Source organism: Homo sapiens, chromosome 8, assembly GCF_000001405.40.
Source record: "Homo sapiens chromosome 8, GRCh38.p14 Primary Assembly".
Taxonomy (NCBI): domain Eukaryota; kingdom Metazoa; phylum Chordata; class Mammalia; order Primates; family Hominidae; genus Homo; species Homo sapiens.
Window position 1 is genome coordinate 80110518 of NC_000008.11, and position 13246 is coordinate 80123763.

Sequence of the window (13246 nt, forward strand, 5' to 3'; positions counted from 1 at the left end):
ATGTAACTAACCTGCACATTGTGCACATGTACCCTAAAACTTAAAGTATAATAATAATAAATAAATAAATAAATGAAAAAAAAAAAGGAGGAAACTTAAAAAAAACCATTCCAATTGAGAGTCCATTAGACTAGGGTAGGGTAGCTCTTGTCACTTTAAATCCCTAATCGAACAAACCAAAGCCCAATGTAAACAGTAAATTAAAACCAGAAACTGCACCAATCAGAAACTACCAACTAATCTCTAACTAGGAACTTTCCACTCTAATCAATCAAAATTGGTTTATTTGTCTTGCTTCTGCAAATACTTTATAAAAGCTTCCCCTCTTGCCCCTCCTGGAGGAGTGACACTCCCTTGTGGTCTGCTGCTACCCTATCCATCAACTGCTGAATGCTCAAGCTGTTTCGGCTGGGTGTGGGGACTCACGCCTGTAATTCCAACACTTTGGGAGGGTGAGGTGGAAGGATCACTTGAGGCCAGGAGTTCAAGATTAGCCTGGGCAACATAGTGAGACCTTGTCTCTAAGAAAAATAAAAACATAAAAATTAGCAGGGCATCGTGATGTGCACATGTAACCTCAACTACTTGGGAGGCTGAGGTGGTAGTATCACTTGAGCTCAAAAGTTCGAGGCTGCAGTGAGCTACGATATCATCACTGTACTCCAGCCTGGGCTACAGAGCAAGAGCCTGTCTCTAAAAATAAAAATAAAAAATAAAAATAAATGGTTTAAAAGTGCTTAAGTTTTTCTTTAACCACTGGTCAGTCAGAAATTCCATATTCTGGAGGCCCTGACTTTGATTGGCATCTGAAGTGGGGGACAGTCTTATGGGACTGAGCTCTCAAGCAGTGGGATCTGACACTACCTCTAGATAGAGTCAAAATTAAATTGAATTAGAGGAGACACCAGAGCTGATGTCTGCTGCAGAACTGTTTGGTTAGTGTGTAGGGAAAAACCCCCATGTACTGGTAACAGAAGCATTCTGTGTGGTACTGAGTGACTATGTTAGAATGGGAAAAGAACTTTGGTTTTTCCTATATCTCTACACTTACAAAGACAAAATTTTTTAAGATCTTGATCATATAGAATGATGCAACTAGCTTACCATTAATAAATCATGCCCAGTGAGGTTTTTATCCAATAGTTGTAAAGAATTTGTACAAATGCATCTGACTATAAAATATATATGTTTGCAAGATAAAAAGGTTGAATAACTAGAAGATGTAGAAGGAACAAGTACTCTTGGGTCAGGCAGAGCCAAGGATCAATGACAACTGCACAGCTCACAGGCTGTGTCACTTAGGGAAAGTTTTCATCAGTGTAAGCCTCAGTTTTCTCACCTGTAAAATCTGAGTGATATTTACTTACATCATAGGGTTGTTGTGAATGGCAACAGAATATGCTTAACATGCAATATGTACAGTAAACAGTGGCATTTGTTGCTAAATAAACCATTGTATGTGTGAAATCAAAACATTAATTGGCTCATATTCTAACTAAGTCACCATACCTGATGTGTGGACCACTCACAGAATTCACCATGGCTCCAGAAGTAATAACAGTTTTTCCCACAGCACAAGGACAAATAAAATACCCAGGGTGACTGTTGAATTTGAAGATTACTTGCCTCACCTTCAGAGATTATGATTGAATACAAACAATTGTAGCTAACACTAAGTGTGTACCAGGTGATAAGCAGTGCTCTAGCACTTCACATAAATTAATCTACTTAATCCTCACAATAATTCTATGAAGTAGATATTATCATTATTCCCATTTTACAGATGGCGAAACTGAGGCACAGAAAAGGTAAGTAAGTATCTTGCTCGAGACCACCCAGTCAAGTAAGGGCAGATCCAGGATTTGAACCCAGACTGATTACCTTGAGCCTGTGTTCTTGGCCACTATCTTGCTCTTCCTCCAAGATTTGGGGCAGGTCCCAGGCATCTCTATGTTTAACTAGTACCCCCAAGTGATTCTGGTATGAGTAGTCCATAAATAAAGAAACACTAGACTCTTGGTAGTAAAGAATACCAATAGTTTAGAAATCGTATCTCGCAAGTCTAAAAAAACAATGTAGAGTTTATTGGGCTAGTTAACTGCTGGACTTCTTTGCTAAGGTAGAAAAATATAAACCAAGTGGAAAAAAATTTCACTTCCAACACTGAAGCGACTTATCAGTTCACACAAATCTTCAGTGGTTTTCTTGCCTCCAGACTCTTCATCAGCAACCCCCCAACCCATTCAACAATATTCGACCTGGCTTTCTATAATATTCTCCCTAATGAACTACAGGTTGAATATCCCTTATCTGAAATGCTTAGGGTCAGAAGTATTTCAGATTTCCGATTTTTTCAGGTTTGAAATATCTGCATATACCTAATGAGATATATTGGGGATGGGAACCAAGTCTAAACATAAAATTCATTTATATTTCATATACACCTTATACATATAGCCTGAAGGTAAACTTATACACTATATTTAATAATTTTGTGCATGAAACCAAGTTTTGACGGCAACCTGTCACAAGGTCAGGTGTGGAAGTCTCCATTTGTGGTGTCAGCTCTCAAAACCTTTTAAATTTTGGAGCATTTCAGATGTCAAATTTTCAGATTAGGGATGCTCAACCTGCAGCAGGTTCTATCTTCTGGCACCTTTTCACTAAACCCTACCTTGACCACCTATTTAAAATCACATCTATGAAATGAAATATCATCTCACCCCAGTTAGAATGGCTATTGTCAAAAAGAAAAAAAAAAAAAACAAGTGCTGGCAATGATGCAGAGAAAAGGGAATTCATATACACTGTTTGTGAGACTGTAAATTAGTACAGTAACTATGGAAAACAGTGTGGAGGATTCTCAAAAAACTAAAAATAGAATGACCATATGATCTACCAACCCTACTACTATTTATCCAAAGGAATGGAAATCAGTATTTCAAAATGATACCTGAATCCCCATGTTTACTGCAGCACTATTCACAATAACTAAGATATGAAATAAACCTAAACATCCATCAAAAGATGAAGAGATGAAGAAAATGTGGCATATACACACAATGGAATACTATGCTGCCATAAAAAAGAATGAAATCCTGTCATTCACAGCAATATGGATGAGCCTGGAGGACATTATGATAAGCAAAACAAGTCAGACACAGAAAGCACCTGCTCTCATTCATATGTGGGAGCTAAAAAAAATGTGGCCTCATGGAAGTAGAGAGTAGAAACTATAACTTATTCTATATCCTCAAAAGGCTAAAAGAGAGGATGTTAAATGTTCACAACACAAAGAAATGATAAATGTTTGTGGTGAAGAATATGCTAATTACCCTGATTTGATCATTACACATTGTATCCCGATATCAAAGTATCATTCTGTATCTAATAAATATATACAATTATGTGTCAAGTAAAAATAAGAGGCATATATAAAATCACAGGCCGGGCATGGTGGCTCACACCTGTGATCCCAGCACTTTGGGAAGTTGAAGCAGGCAGATCACTTGAGGCCAGGAGTTCAAGACCAGCCTGGCCAACATGGTAAAACCCCGTCTCTACCAAAAATACAAAAATTAGCTGGGTGTGGCAGTATATACCTGTAGCTGCTCAGCAGGCTGAGGTGGGGGAATTGCTTGAACCCAGGAAGTGGAGACTGCAGTGAGTGAAGATCGTGCCACTGCACTCCAGCCTGGGCGACAGAGTGAGACTCCATCTCAAAAAATAAAATAAAATCACAACTCTGCCTTTCTCCCTAAACCTCCACCTATACACCCATTCCCCACTACCCTACTTTTTAAATTTTTTCAACAGAATATATTACCTAGCATACTATATGATATACTTATTACACATAGTAATATTGACTGCCTCCTCAACTAAAACATAAGTTTTAGAAGCAGGAATTTTTTTTCTGGTTTATTTTGCTCATTGTTATACCCCAAAATGCCTAGAACAGTGCCTGACACACATAAATATTTGTTGCATTAATTAGTTAATTAATGTCATTGTCCAGCTCAAAACTTTCAATAGCTCCCCACTACTAATCAAATAAAATCCAAGCACGCTCTCAGGGAATCTGGACACTCCAAAATTAGGCCCTAACTGACCTTTCCATCCTTAATTTTTCCTAAGTCAGACTCAGAAGTCCAAGAGTTGACATTTCCTTACTTCCTGCTTTCCTGCCCCTGTGCCTCTGTTGATGTAGCCCTTTCTGGCTGCCTTGCCTATACCACAATATCTTTATCTATCAACGTGATGCCTATTGTGAATGAGAAACTACTCTCCAAGGTCTCTGAAACGGTGTCTGTTTCAAACACATCCCTGAATTCAGTGGCGTGACAGGCTCCACTCCTAAGGCTTAGTTTCTGCCAAGTGCCATCTTCCATGCTTCCATATGTTGTGGTTAATTGTGTCTGAGTCGTACCCCTCCACTGACGCTAGCTAACTGAGGGCCCTGATGGTCTGGGATTTGAGGTACATCTGTACACAAAGAATAGCTGCCTATTGCGTTGCACATTTTACAAGTCAGACAATGGAAGGGGCCTGTTGCTTATAATGCTCCTTTTGTTTTTTGAAAATTTCTGCCACATGCACCTTTTTAAGCTTTTTGACTTTTTTAAACACAGAGGGCTGCCCTACATTCAACCACTTAGGCCCACTTTTGAAGCCCAGGCCGACTGGAGAGTGCAAAGAGCAGCCAATCTGCAGACTGAAGACAGGCTTGGCAGAAAGTCTCCGCCCGTCTACAGTGGTCTACAATGAATAAAAAACAGTGACCTGACAAACCAATCTGATCTCTCCTCTGAACAGGAGTCTAAAATGGAGATACCAAGAGTCAGTACTTACCAATGGGCACAGAAGCCACAATGACCTACAGAGAGATGACGAAAAGCAGAGCAAGAGAGCAGAAGCTATAAGGCTTCAATAAACAAGAAAGATCAAGAGTCATACAAGCGGCGGAAAAGGCAGCAGAACCATAACAGTAGAATGTCACCTAGAGAGAAGGAAGGGAGGCAAGAGAGGAATGGAATGTCATCTCTGAACAGCCAACTACTAGATTTTCAATCAAGCTCCCTGCAGAGGGCAGACCTTACAGACTAACTCCTGGAAGACTGCTGTATCCCCAAAACATAAACTTAACTGTGTGGCTAGTCCTACTTTTCTTATTCTCTATGAATTCAATAAAATCCATCACTTGTTTCTTGAAGCCTAACAGAGCCTATTTATATGGCAGTAATACCGTGTGATACATGGCAGTGATACCAGTCCAGAAGCCAGAACGGAAATGGAGGATAAATCTGACCACACAAAACTTTAAAACTTCCGTATGGCAAAAAATGTTCAACAAGGTCAAAAGAAACTATAAACAAGGAAAAAATATTTGGAAGACATATGACAAAGGCTAATTTCTTCTTAATATAACAAAAACTTGTTAAAATAAATAACCCAATAAAAGACAAAGAAGTAAAGGATATCATAGTATAGAAAAATAAATGTAAATAGTGCAAACTCTATAAAGGATAATTTGTCAATATCTACTAATATTGAACATTATATCCCTTTGACCTAACAAATCAACTGCTAAGAATTTACCCTCAGAAACACACTATCACCAAAAGTACCCTACAATATATCAAAAGATATTAACTGTGGCATTATTCATAACATTAATGACCATAAATAGGTTAGTTATGGAACACTATGTGGTCACTAAAAGATGAATTCAATTTTTACAAAAAGATCTCTAAAATATAAAGCATTAAAAAGCAAGGTAGAACTAAAATCCTGAATTAAAACAGCAATCATTATTGCCAACCATACAGAATAAAAAGGATTATAAAGTAATACTATGACCAACTGTGTGCCAACAGATTGGTTAGCTTAGATGAAATGACAAATTCCTAGAAAGACACAAAATCCTGAAATTGACTCAAGAATAAACAGAAAATCTGAAAAGACCTCTAACAAGCAAAGATATTCAAAAACCACCCACATGCAAAGGCCTACTCCCAGATGGCTTCACTGGTGAATTCTACCAAATATTTAAAGAAGAATGAATACCAATTATTCACAAATACTTTCAGCATAAAATAGAAGAGGAGGAAATGCTATGCAGCTCAGTCTATGAGGCCAGTATTACCCTGCTACCAAAATCGGACAAAGATATCACAAGAAAACGACAGACTAGTATTTCTAATAAATACAGACACGAAAGTCCTCAGCATAATACTAGCAAACCATTATCTAGGAATGTTAAAAAAAAAAAAAAAGTTTATTTAGTATGAGCAAGTAGAATTTATCCCAGGAATGTAAGTTTGTTTTAACATCCAAAAATCAATCAATGTAATCATATCAATAGATAAAGGACTAAAACATATGATCATCAAAATAGATGCAAGAGACATAGAAAAAGCATTTGACAAGATTCATCACCCTTTATGATCAAAACACTCAACAAACTAGGAATGTAAAGGAACTTCCTCAGTTTGATAAAGGGTGTCTATGGAAAACCGCAGCTAACATCTTAGTTAACAAAGACCGAATGTTTTTCCCCTAAGACCAGGAACAGAAAGGGTATTTGTTCTTATCACTTCTATTTAACATTGAACTGGAGGTTCTAGCCAGGACACTTAGGCAAGAAAAAGGACTAAAAGGCATCCGTTTTGGAAATGAAAAAGTAAAACAATTTCCATTTGCAGTAACATAATCTCATGTATAGAATAATAAGGAATCCATTAAAAAACTATTAGAACTCATAAATGAGTTCAGCAACTTTGCAGGCTTATAAGATCAATTCACAAAACTTATCACGTATCTATACAATTTCAATGAATAACCTAAAATTGAAATTAAGACAAAATTGTATTTACAACAGCATTGAAAAGAATACATTTAATAAGAGAATTTATACTTTGAAAACTACAAAATATGGCTGAAAGAAATTAAATACATTTAAATAAATGGCAAGTCTAAAAAAATGGGAAGACATCCATATTCATGGGTCTGAAGACTTAATATTGTGGAGATGACAATACCTCTCAATCAATTTACAGATTCAGTGTAATGCCTATCAAAATCCCAGCTGACTTCTTGACAAAAATTGACAAGCTGATCCTAAAATTCTCACAGAAATTCAACGGACCCAGAGTAGCCAAAACAATCTTGAAAGAGAGAACAACTTAGAGGACTCATGCTTTCTTTTTTTTTCTTTCTTTTTTTTTTTTTTTTGAGACAGAGTCTTGCTCTATTGCCCAGGCTGGAGTGTAGTGGTGCAATCTTGGCTCACTGCAACCTCCACCTCCCAGGTTCAAGCGATTCTCCTGCCTCAGCCTCCCGAGTAGCTGGGACTACAGGCGCGTGCCACCACTCCTAGCTAATTTTTTGTATTTTTAGTAGAGATGGGGTTTCACCATGTTAGCCAGGATGGTCTCGATCTCCTGACCTCGTGATCCGCCCACCTCAGCCTCCCAAAGTGCCAGGATTACAGGTGTGAGCCACCGCACCCAACCCAGACTCAAGCCTTCTAATTTCAAACTTCACTACAACACTACAGTAATCAAGATAATGTGTTATAGATATAAGAATAGACATATAGGTCAATGGAATAGAATTCAGAGTTCGGAAATAGACATTCACAGTTAAGGTTAATTGATTTCTGACAAGGTGCCAAGACAGTCTGACATGGAAAAATAGTCTTTTCATTAAATGGTGCTGGGGAAAATGGATAGCCACATGCAAAAGAATAAAACTGGACCCCTACCTCAAACCATACACTTAGAATCAAAGACCTAAATGTAAGGGTTTAAACTATAAAACTCTTAGAGGAAAACACAGATATAACTCTACATTGGATCATGCAATGGTTTCTTAGACAGGACACCAAAAGCACAAAAAAAGATAGATAAATTGGACATCATCAACATTAAAATCTTTTATGCTTCAAGCACACCGTCAACGAAGTGAAAAGACAACCCACAGAATGTGAGGAAATACTGTAAAATCATCTATCTGATGATGGCATTGTATCTAGAAAATAAAAAGAACTCTTGCCATTCAATAATGAAAAGACAACCAAATTTTCAAGTGTGCAAAGAATCTGAATAAATCATTTCTCCAAAGAAGACATACACATGGTCAATTAGCACACACAGTGATGGCCAACATCATTAGACATCAGGGAGATGCAAATCAAAACCACCTCATGCTTCACACCCACTAGAATGGTTATAATCAAGAAGACAATAATAAGTGTTGGTGACGATCCAGAGAAACAACAATCTTCATACACTCCTAACAGGTATGTAACACAGTACAGTCACTTCAGAAAACCGTCTAGCATTTCCTCAAAAGGTTAAATATAGAAATTACTGTATTACCCCATAATTGCACTCCTAGGTAAATATCTAAGATAAATGAAAACAATATGTCTGTACAAAAAAACATGCACAAATATACACAAGTATTCAAAGTAGTTAAAAAGTAAAAACAACCCAAATGTCCATCAACTGATGACTGAATAAATAAAATATGGTACATGTATACAAGGGAATATTATTCAGCAATAAGGAAATTAAGTAATGACAGATGCTACTCCATGGATGAACCCTGAAAACATCATGTGACGTGAAAGAAGCCAGACACAAAAGACCACATATGTATAAACCCATTTATATGACATATCCAAAATAGGCAAATTTATAGACAGAAAGTAGATCAGTAATTGCCTAGGGCTGGGAGTAAGGAAGTGGGGAGAGGAATGAGGAGTGACTGCTAATGGGTAAGGAGTATCCTTTTGGGTTGATGTTCTAAAATTGTGGTAAATGTTGTACAAGTATCTGGATACACTAAAAACCAATGAATTATAGATTGAATGAGCTGTATGGTTATCAGAATTATATCTTAAAGATGTTATTTTTTTAAAAAGCAAAGCAAAGAATAATGTGTATACTATCCCATTGTAAACTTCTACCCGTGGCTTTGTGTATGTGCTAGTACATGGACAGTTTTCTGGGGGAAAAAAAGTCAAGAAATTTAACAGTAGTTTACTTTGGGAAGGGAAACTATAGTGAATGAGTTCAAGAAAAAGGGATTTCAATTTTTTACTTTATACCTTGCTGTTCATGTAAAATTTGTTTCACACCATGTGAAAGAAAATATAAGCTTCTTTAAAATTAAAAGAATATATGGCCTTTAAAACCACACAGTACTGGCATAAGAATAAACAAAACATTTGAAACAAGTCCAGAAATAGATCCACAAATATAAAGGAATTTAATGTATGAAAATACTTACATTTTATATGAGTGGAGAAAAGATAAATCTTTCCCTAATTCAAGCCAGAAATTCCAGATGAAATAAAAAGCTATAGCAGAAAACATTAGAAAATATACACAATTAAAATGTTAGAAAAACTACAGGACATTAATAATTTGGGTACTGATGGGATCTCTCTGGGATAAAAAACTCAAAAGTTACTAAGAGACTGACAAATTTGACTATATACTATTAAAACTCTGTTATGATAGAATAGCACAAGTTAAAAGACAAGTGACAGCCTGAGAGAAAATATTTATAACAGACAGAGGTTTACATACCTTGTACCATGTATATATATAAGGATTCAGTAGATGGTATCTAAGCACAACAAAATTGGAATTAAATGAATATTTCTAAAAAAAAATAATAGGCTGGACGCGGTGGCTCATGCCTGTAATCCTAACACTGTGGGAGGCCGAGGCAGGTGGATCACCTGAGGTCAGGAGTTCAGACCAGCCTAGCCAACACGGCAAAACCCTGTCTCTACTGAAACTGCAAAAATTAGCTGGCCATGGTGGTTCACGTCTGTAATCCCAGCTACTCAGGAGGGTGAGGCACGAGAATCACTTGAATCCAGGAGACAGAGGTTGCAGTGAGCTGCCACGGCACTCCAGCCTGAGCGACAGAGCAAGACTCTGTTTCAAAAAAAAGAAAAGAAAAAAAAAGAAAAGAATGGATGGATTGAATGACAGGTTGATCCTGTAAAAGCTATCGATGGGACTAAAACACAATATATGCATAGAAGTGAAGTGCTGCTTTAATCTTTGAAATGGCTTGCACTTTTATCAACATTGTCATTTGACCTTCTTCAGTTAGCAATATAAACAGAATGTTTACTAAAATCATTTTGGCTAAAAAATATCTAAGATAAATATTTCACACTAAGAAGGCTTTCTTCAGTTGCCTTATGTCTTATAACATAGAGATAATATTCATTTGTCATTTAAAACAAAAAATCAGACTGGACGGGGTGGTTCAGGCCTGTAATCCCAGCACTTTGGGAGGCTGAAGTGAGCAGATCACCTGAGGCCAGGAGTTCGAGACCAGCCAGGCCAAGATGGTGAAACCCCCATCTCTAATAAAATTTCAAAAAATTAGCTGAGCATGGTGGCATGTGCCTGTAGTCCCAGCTGCTTGGGAGGCTGAGGCAGGAGGATAGCTTGAACCAGGGAGGCAGAGGTTGCAGTGAGCTGAGATCACGCCAGTGCACTCCAGCCTGGGCGACAGAGTGAGACTCTGTCTCAAAAAAAAAAAAAGGAAAAAGAAAAAATCAGCCTGAAATACAAACTTATTTATGTTGGTTTTCCCTTCTTCTACCCACAGAAATTTGTGAACATATCCAAGATCATTATCAAGACGTCAAAAGTCAACACTCTAACATTTTCCACCAAGAACAAATAATCATGTTAACACTAAGGGTTATTTAAGGTGAACACAGCAAAACTGCTGCCCTTTCACAGCCCCAGCAAAGGCAAGATGTGACAGGAGCCCCCAGTAAACATGAAAGTGACAAGACCCTTCTCCGTGCAGGATAAGAGGCCACATAATTCAATTCAATTAAAAGATTATGGCCATGGAGACAGAATTTTCACTGAATGTTTTTATAACGAGCTCTCAGAGAGTTTTAGGGTTACTCTTACTTAATGCAGCCATTAATCCCCATGAATACCGTACAGCAAACTAACAAATACATTGTGTAAAAGTAGTCAAGCCCAAACAGACCATCCAAACTAATCCCCTGAAACCTCAGGAGCCACGTGGAAAATCTAATATAATTACCTCCCACTAAACTCTGTACATCTGTTACAGGGAGTTCCTACTGTGATTACATTCTTAGTGCAAATGCCTGGAATTAATTCCAAAACAATCCAAGCCCAGGCCTAACCAAGTGGCCTTCACGACGCAAAACCTGCATCGGATGGTCCTCTTTTATCTCCTTTCATCCACAGGTAGCCTGGTTTATAAACCAGGGCTCCAGTCTGGCTTTATCCCTTTCTTTATTCATTTACAAGGTTTTTTCATTGATTTCCAGCTGAGTTCCTACAGCTAGTAGTAATAAGACACAGTAAAAGGGTTTTTCAAAAATTATAATTATGTAATTAATAAAGAAATTATGTTTATCATTATTTCTACTTCACATTTTTTTCTACTTCCCCTTTGCTTTGCTTACTTACACCTTCAAAAGAAAAAAAAAAACTCCTGTGCAATGATGTTTTATCATTATTGTCATTTTATAGATGAGAAAGGTAAAATCAAATTATTTAATTTAGCTAAAATCTCACAAAAGTTCTCTCAAGAGAACAAGGAATCAGGTCTTACTACATAAGGGCTTTCTCTATGGTGACACGTCACATCTCAAAACAAAACAGAAAGTAAGACAAACCAAGCTGTGATGCAGGAAAACAGAGGGAACTGGAAGTTGGATAAAGGGCAGAATGAGTAAAAGCAGAGAGCAGAAGCAAGGTGAATGGGTAGCTGAGTAAGAAACAAGAGACAGAAGCTGAGCAGCCAAAACAAAAACAAGATTAAAAAGTGAGTAAAGAGACCCCATAGCTGGCTCCTCAGAGATGGGCATGCGCATCAGAGAGAAAAAGTATCCTTAACATGACCCCATATGATAATCAGCTCATTAAAGCTCATGCATATGGACTGTATATTATGGGATGGAGGCAACACACAAGCACATAAGGGCCAAAGTAAGCAGTCCACCTATCAATTAAATGGCAGAGTCTGGCTAAAGATTAGGCAGCCTTGGGAAGAGAAGAGACAAAAAAACACATACAAATACCCAAAGTACATCAAACTGATGCTGATCTCATTTCACAGAGATCAGTCCACTCTCCTCTCTCCAAGAGTGTAATACAGTGCTTAATAAACTTTTGCTGCTTGCTTTGCTACTTGTGTGTGTCACGTCCAATTCTTTGTTCAGGACACCAAGAGCCTGGAACTGCACGGCACCATCCAGTGACAGTTGGAGTACACAGAGGGAAGAAGGTGTTCAGTCAGAAGCAGGATTCAGGCTGAATGCATGGTAATGAACAAGGACATGGCAATTCCACAGACAATAGTTTGGGAAACCTTCACTGCTAGGCTGAGAATTCTGACGTCTGCCTCTAGGCCAGCAAGGGCATGCCGTGGCAGAAGCAGGTCAGCAGTGGGGCATGGAGTAGGAAGAAAGCCGGAACTGCAAGCATGCTCAGGAGCACTACTGAGGTCCTCTGAGCAGAAAGGCACCAGCTGACTTGAGACAAGGACAGTGGGTGGGAGGAAAGGAGGTAAGTGCTGGTGATAAGGTAGAGAGGTGACAGTTCAGGTCTGCATCTTAGATGAGTCTCTCTGGTGACTGTGGAGGACCAATTTGAAAGGGCCAAAAGCAGAGGCAGGAGGGCTCTGCAGAATCTATGTGAAGATGAGGTCCTGAGCTAGGATGCTGGTGGCTTAGAGGGGAATGTAAATGCTGAGAAATATTCAAAATAAAATGTGTAGGTCTTATTAAATGAGTGTATGTAGAGGCTGAAAAAAAGGGAAAAATGACTCTCAAGACAAGGTGGGCGATGGTACCTCCGACCAAGAAAGAGAATGTAGGTTTAAAGAAAAATATATTCCAGCCGGGCACAACAGCTTGTGCCTGTAATCCCAACAGTTGGGAGGCCAAGGCAGAAGGATTGCTTGAGCCCAGGAGTCGGAGACAAGCCTGGCAACACAGTAAGACCTCATCTCTATGAAAAGAAATACTACTAATAATTCCATCTTGGTCAAGTTTATGGGATAGCCAAGTAGATGTGCTGCGTGGGCAGTTGGAAATAAGATTCTGATGCTGGCGGGAATAACCAAAGAAACGGCTTATAAATCATGAGCACAGAATTGTAGCTGAAAACTTGAAAATGTATAAGCTCTCTGAAGGAGGGCACAGAGAGGCAGGGAA

The 13246-nt window shown here is 38.2% G+C and overlaps 2 protein-coding genes across 12 annotated transcripts in view, besides 2 other annotated features; both read right to left on the bottom strand.

The window, feature by feature from the left end:
* TPD52-MRPS28 (TPD52-MRPS28 readthrough) overlaps positions 1-13246 on the bottom strand; it is a 252848-nt gene that overhangs the window by 191801 nt on the left and 47801 nt on the right. The window lies entirely within an intron of this gene.
* Positions 1-13246, bottom strand: part of TPD52 (tumor protein D52) — a 140483-nt gene that overhangs the window by 79436 nt on the left and 47801 nt on the right. For 2 of the 11 annotated variants that reach the window (NR_105035.2, NR_105037.2), the window contains exon 2: positions 9298-9367. The exons of the other annotated variants lie outside the window; for them this stretch is intronic. The gene's annotated coding sequence lies outside the window, so the exon portion shown is untranslated. The remainder of the gene's footprint in view (positions 1-9297; positions 9368-13246) is intronic. 11 annotated transcript variants of the gene reach the window in all.
* Positions 11603-11662: an enhancer, noted in NCBI's record as "active region_27557". NCBI's record gives its function as "activates an Ori minimal core promoter by ATAC-STARR-seq in GM12878 lymphoblastoid cells {active_cell/tissue: GM12878}" and the evidence as "EXISTENCE:reporter gene assay evidence [ECO:0000049][PMID:35858748]".
* Positions 11833-11932: an enhancer, noted in NCBI's record as "active region_27558". NCBI's record gives its function as "activates an Ori minimal core promoter by ATAC-STARR-seq in GM12878 lymphoblastoid cells {active_cell/tissue: GM12878}" and the evidence as "EXISTENCE:reporter gene assay evidence [ECO:0000049][PMID:35858748]".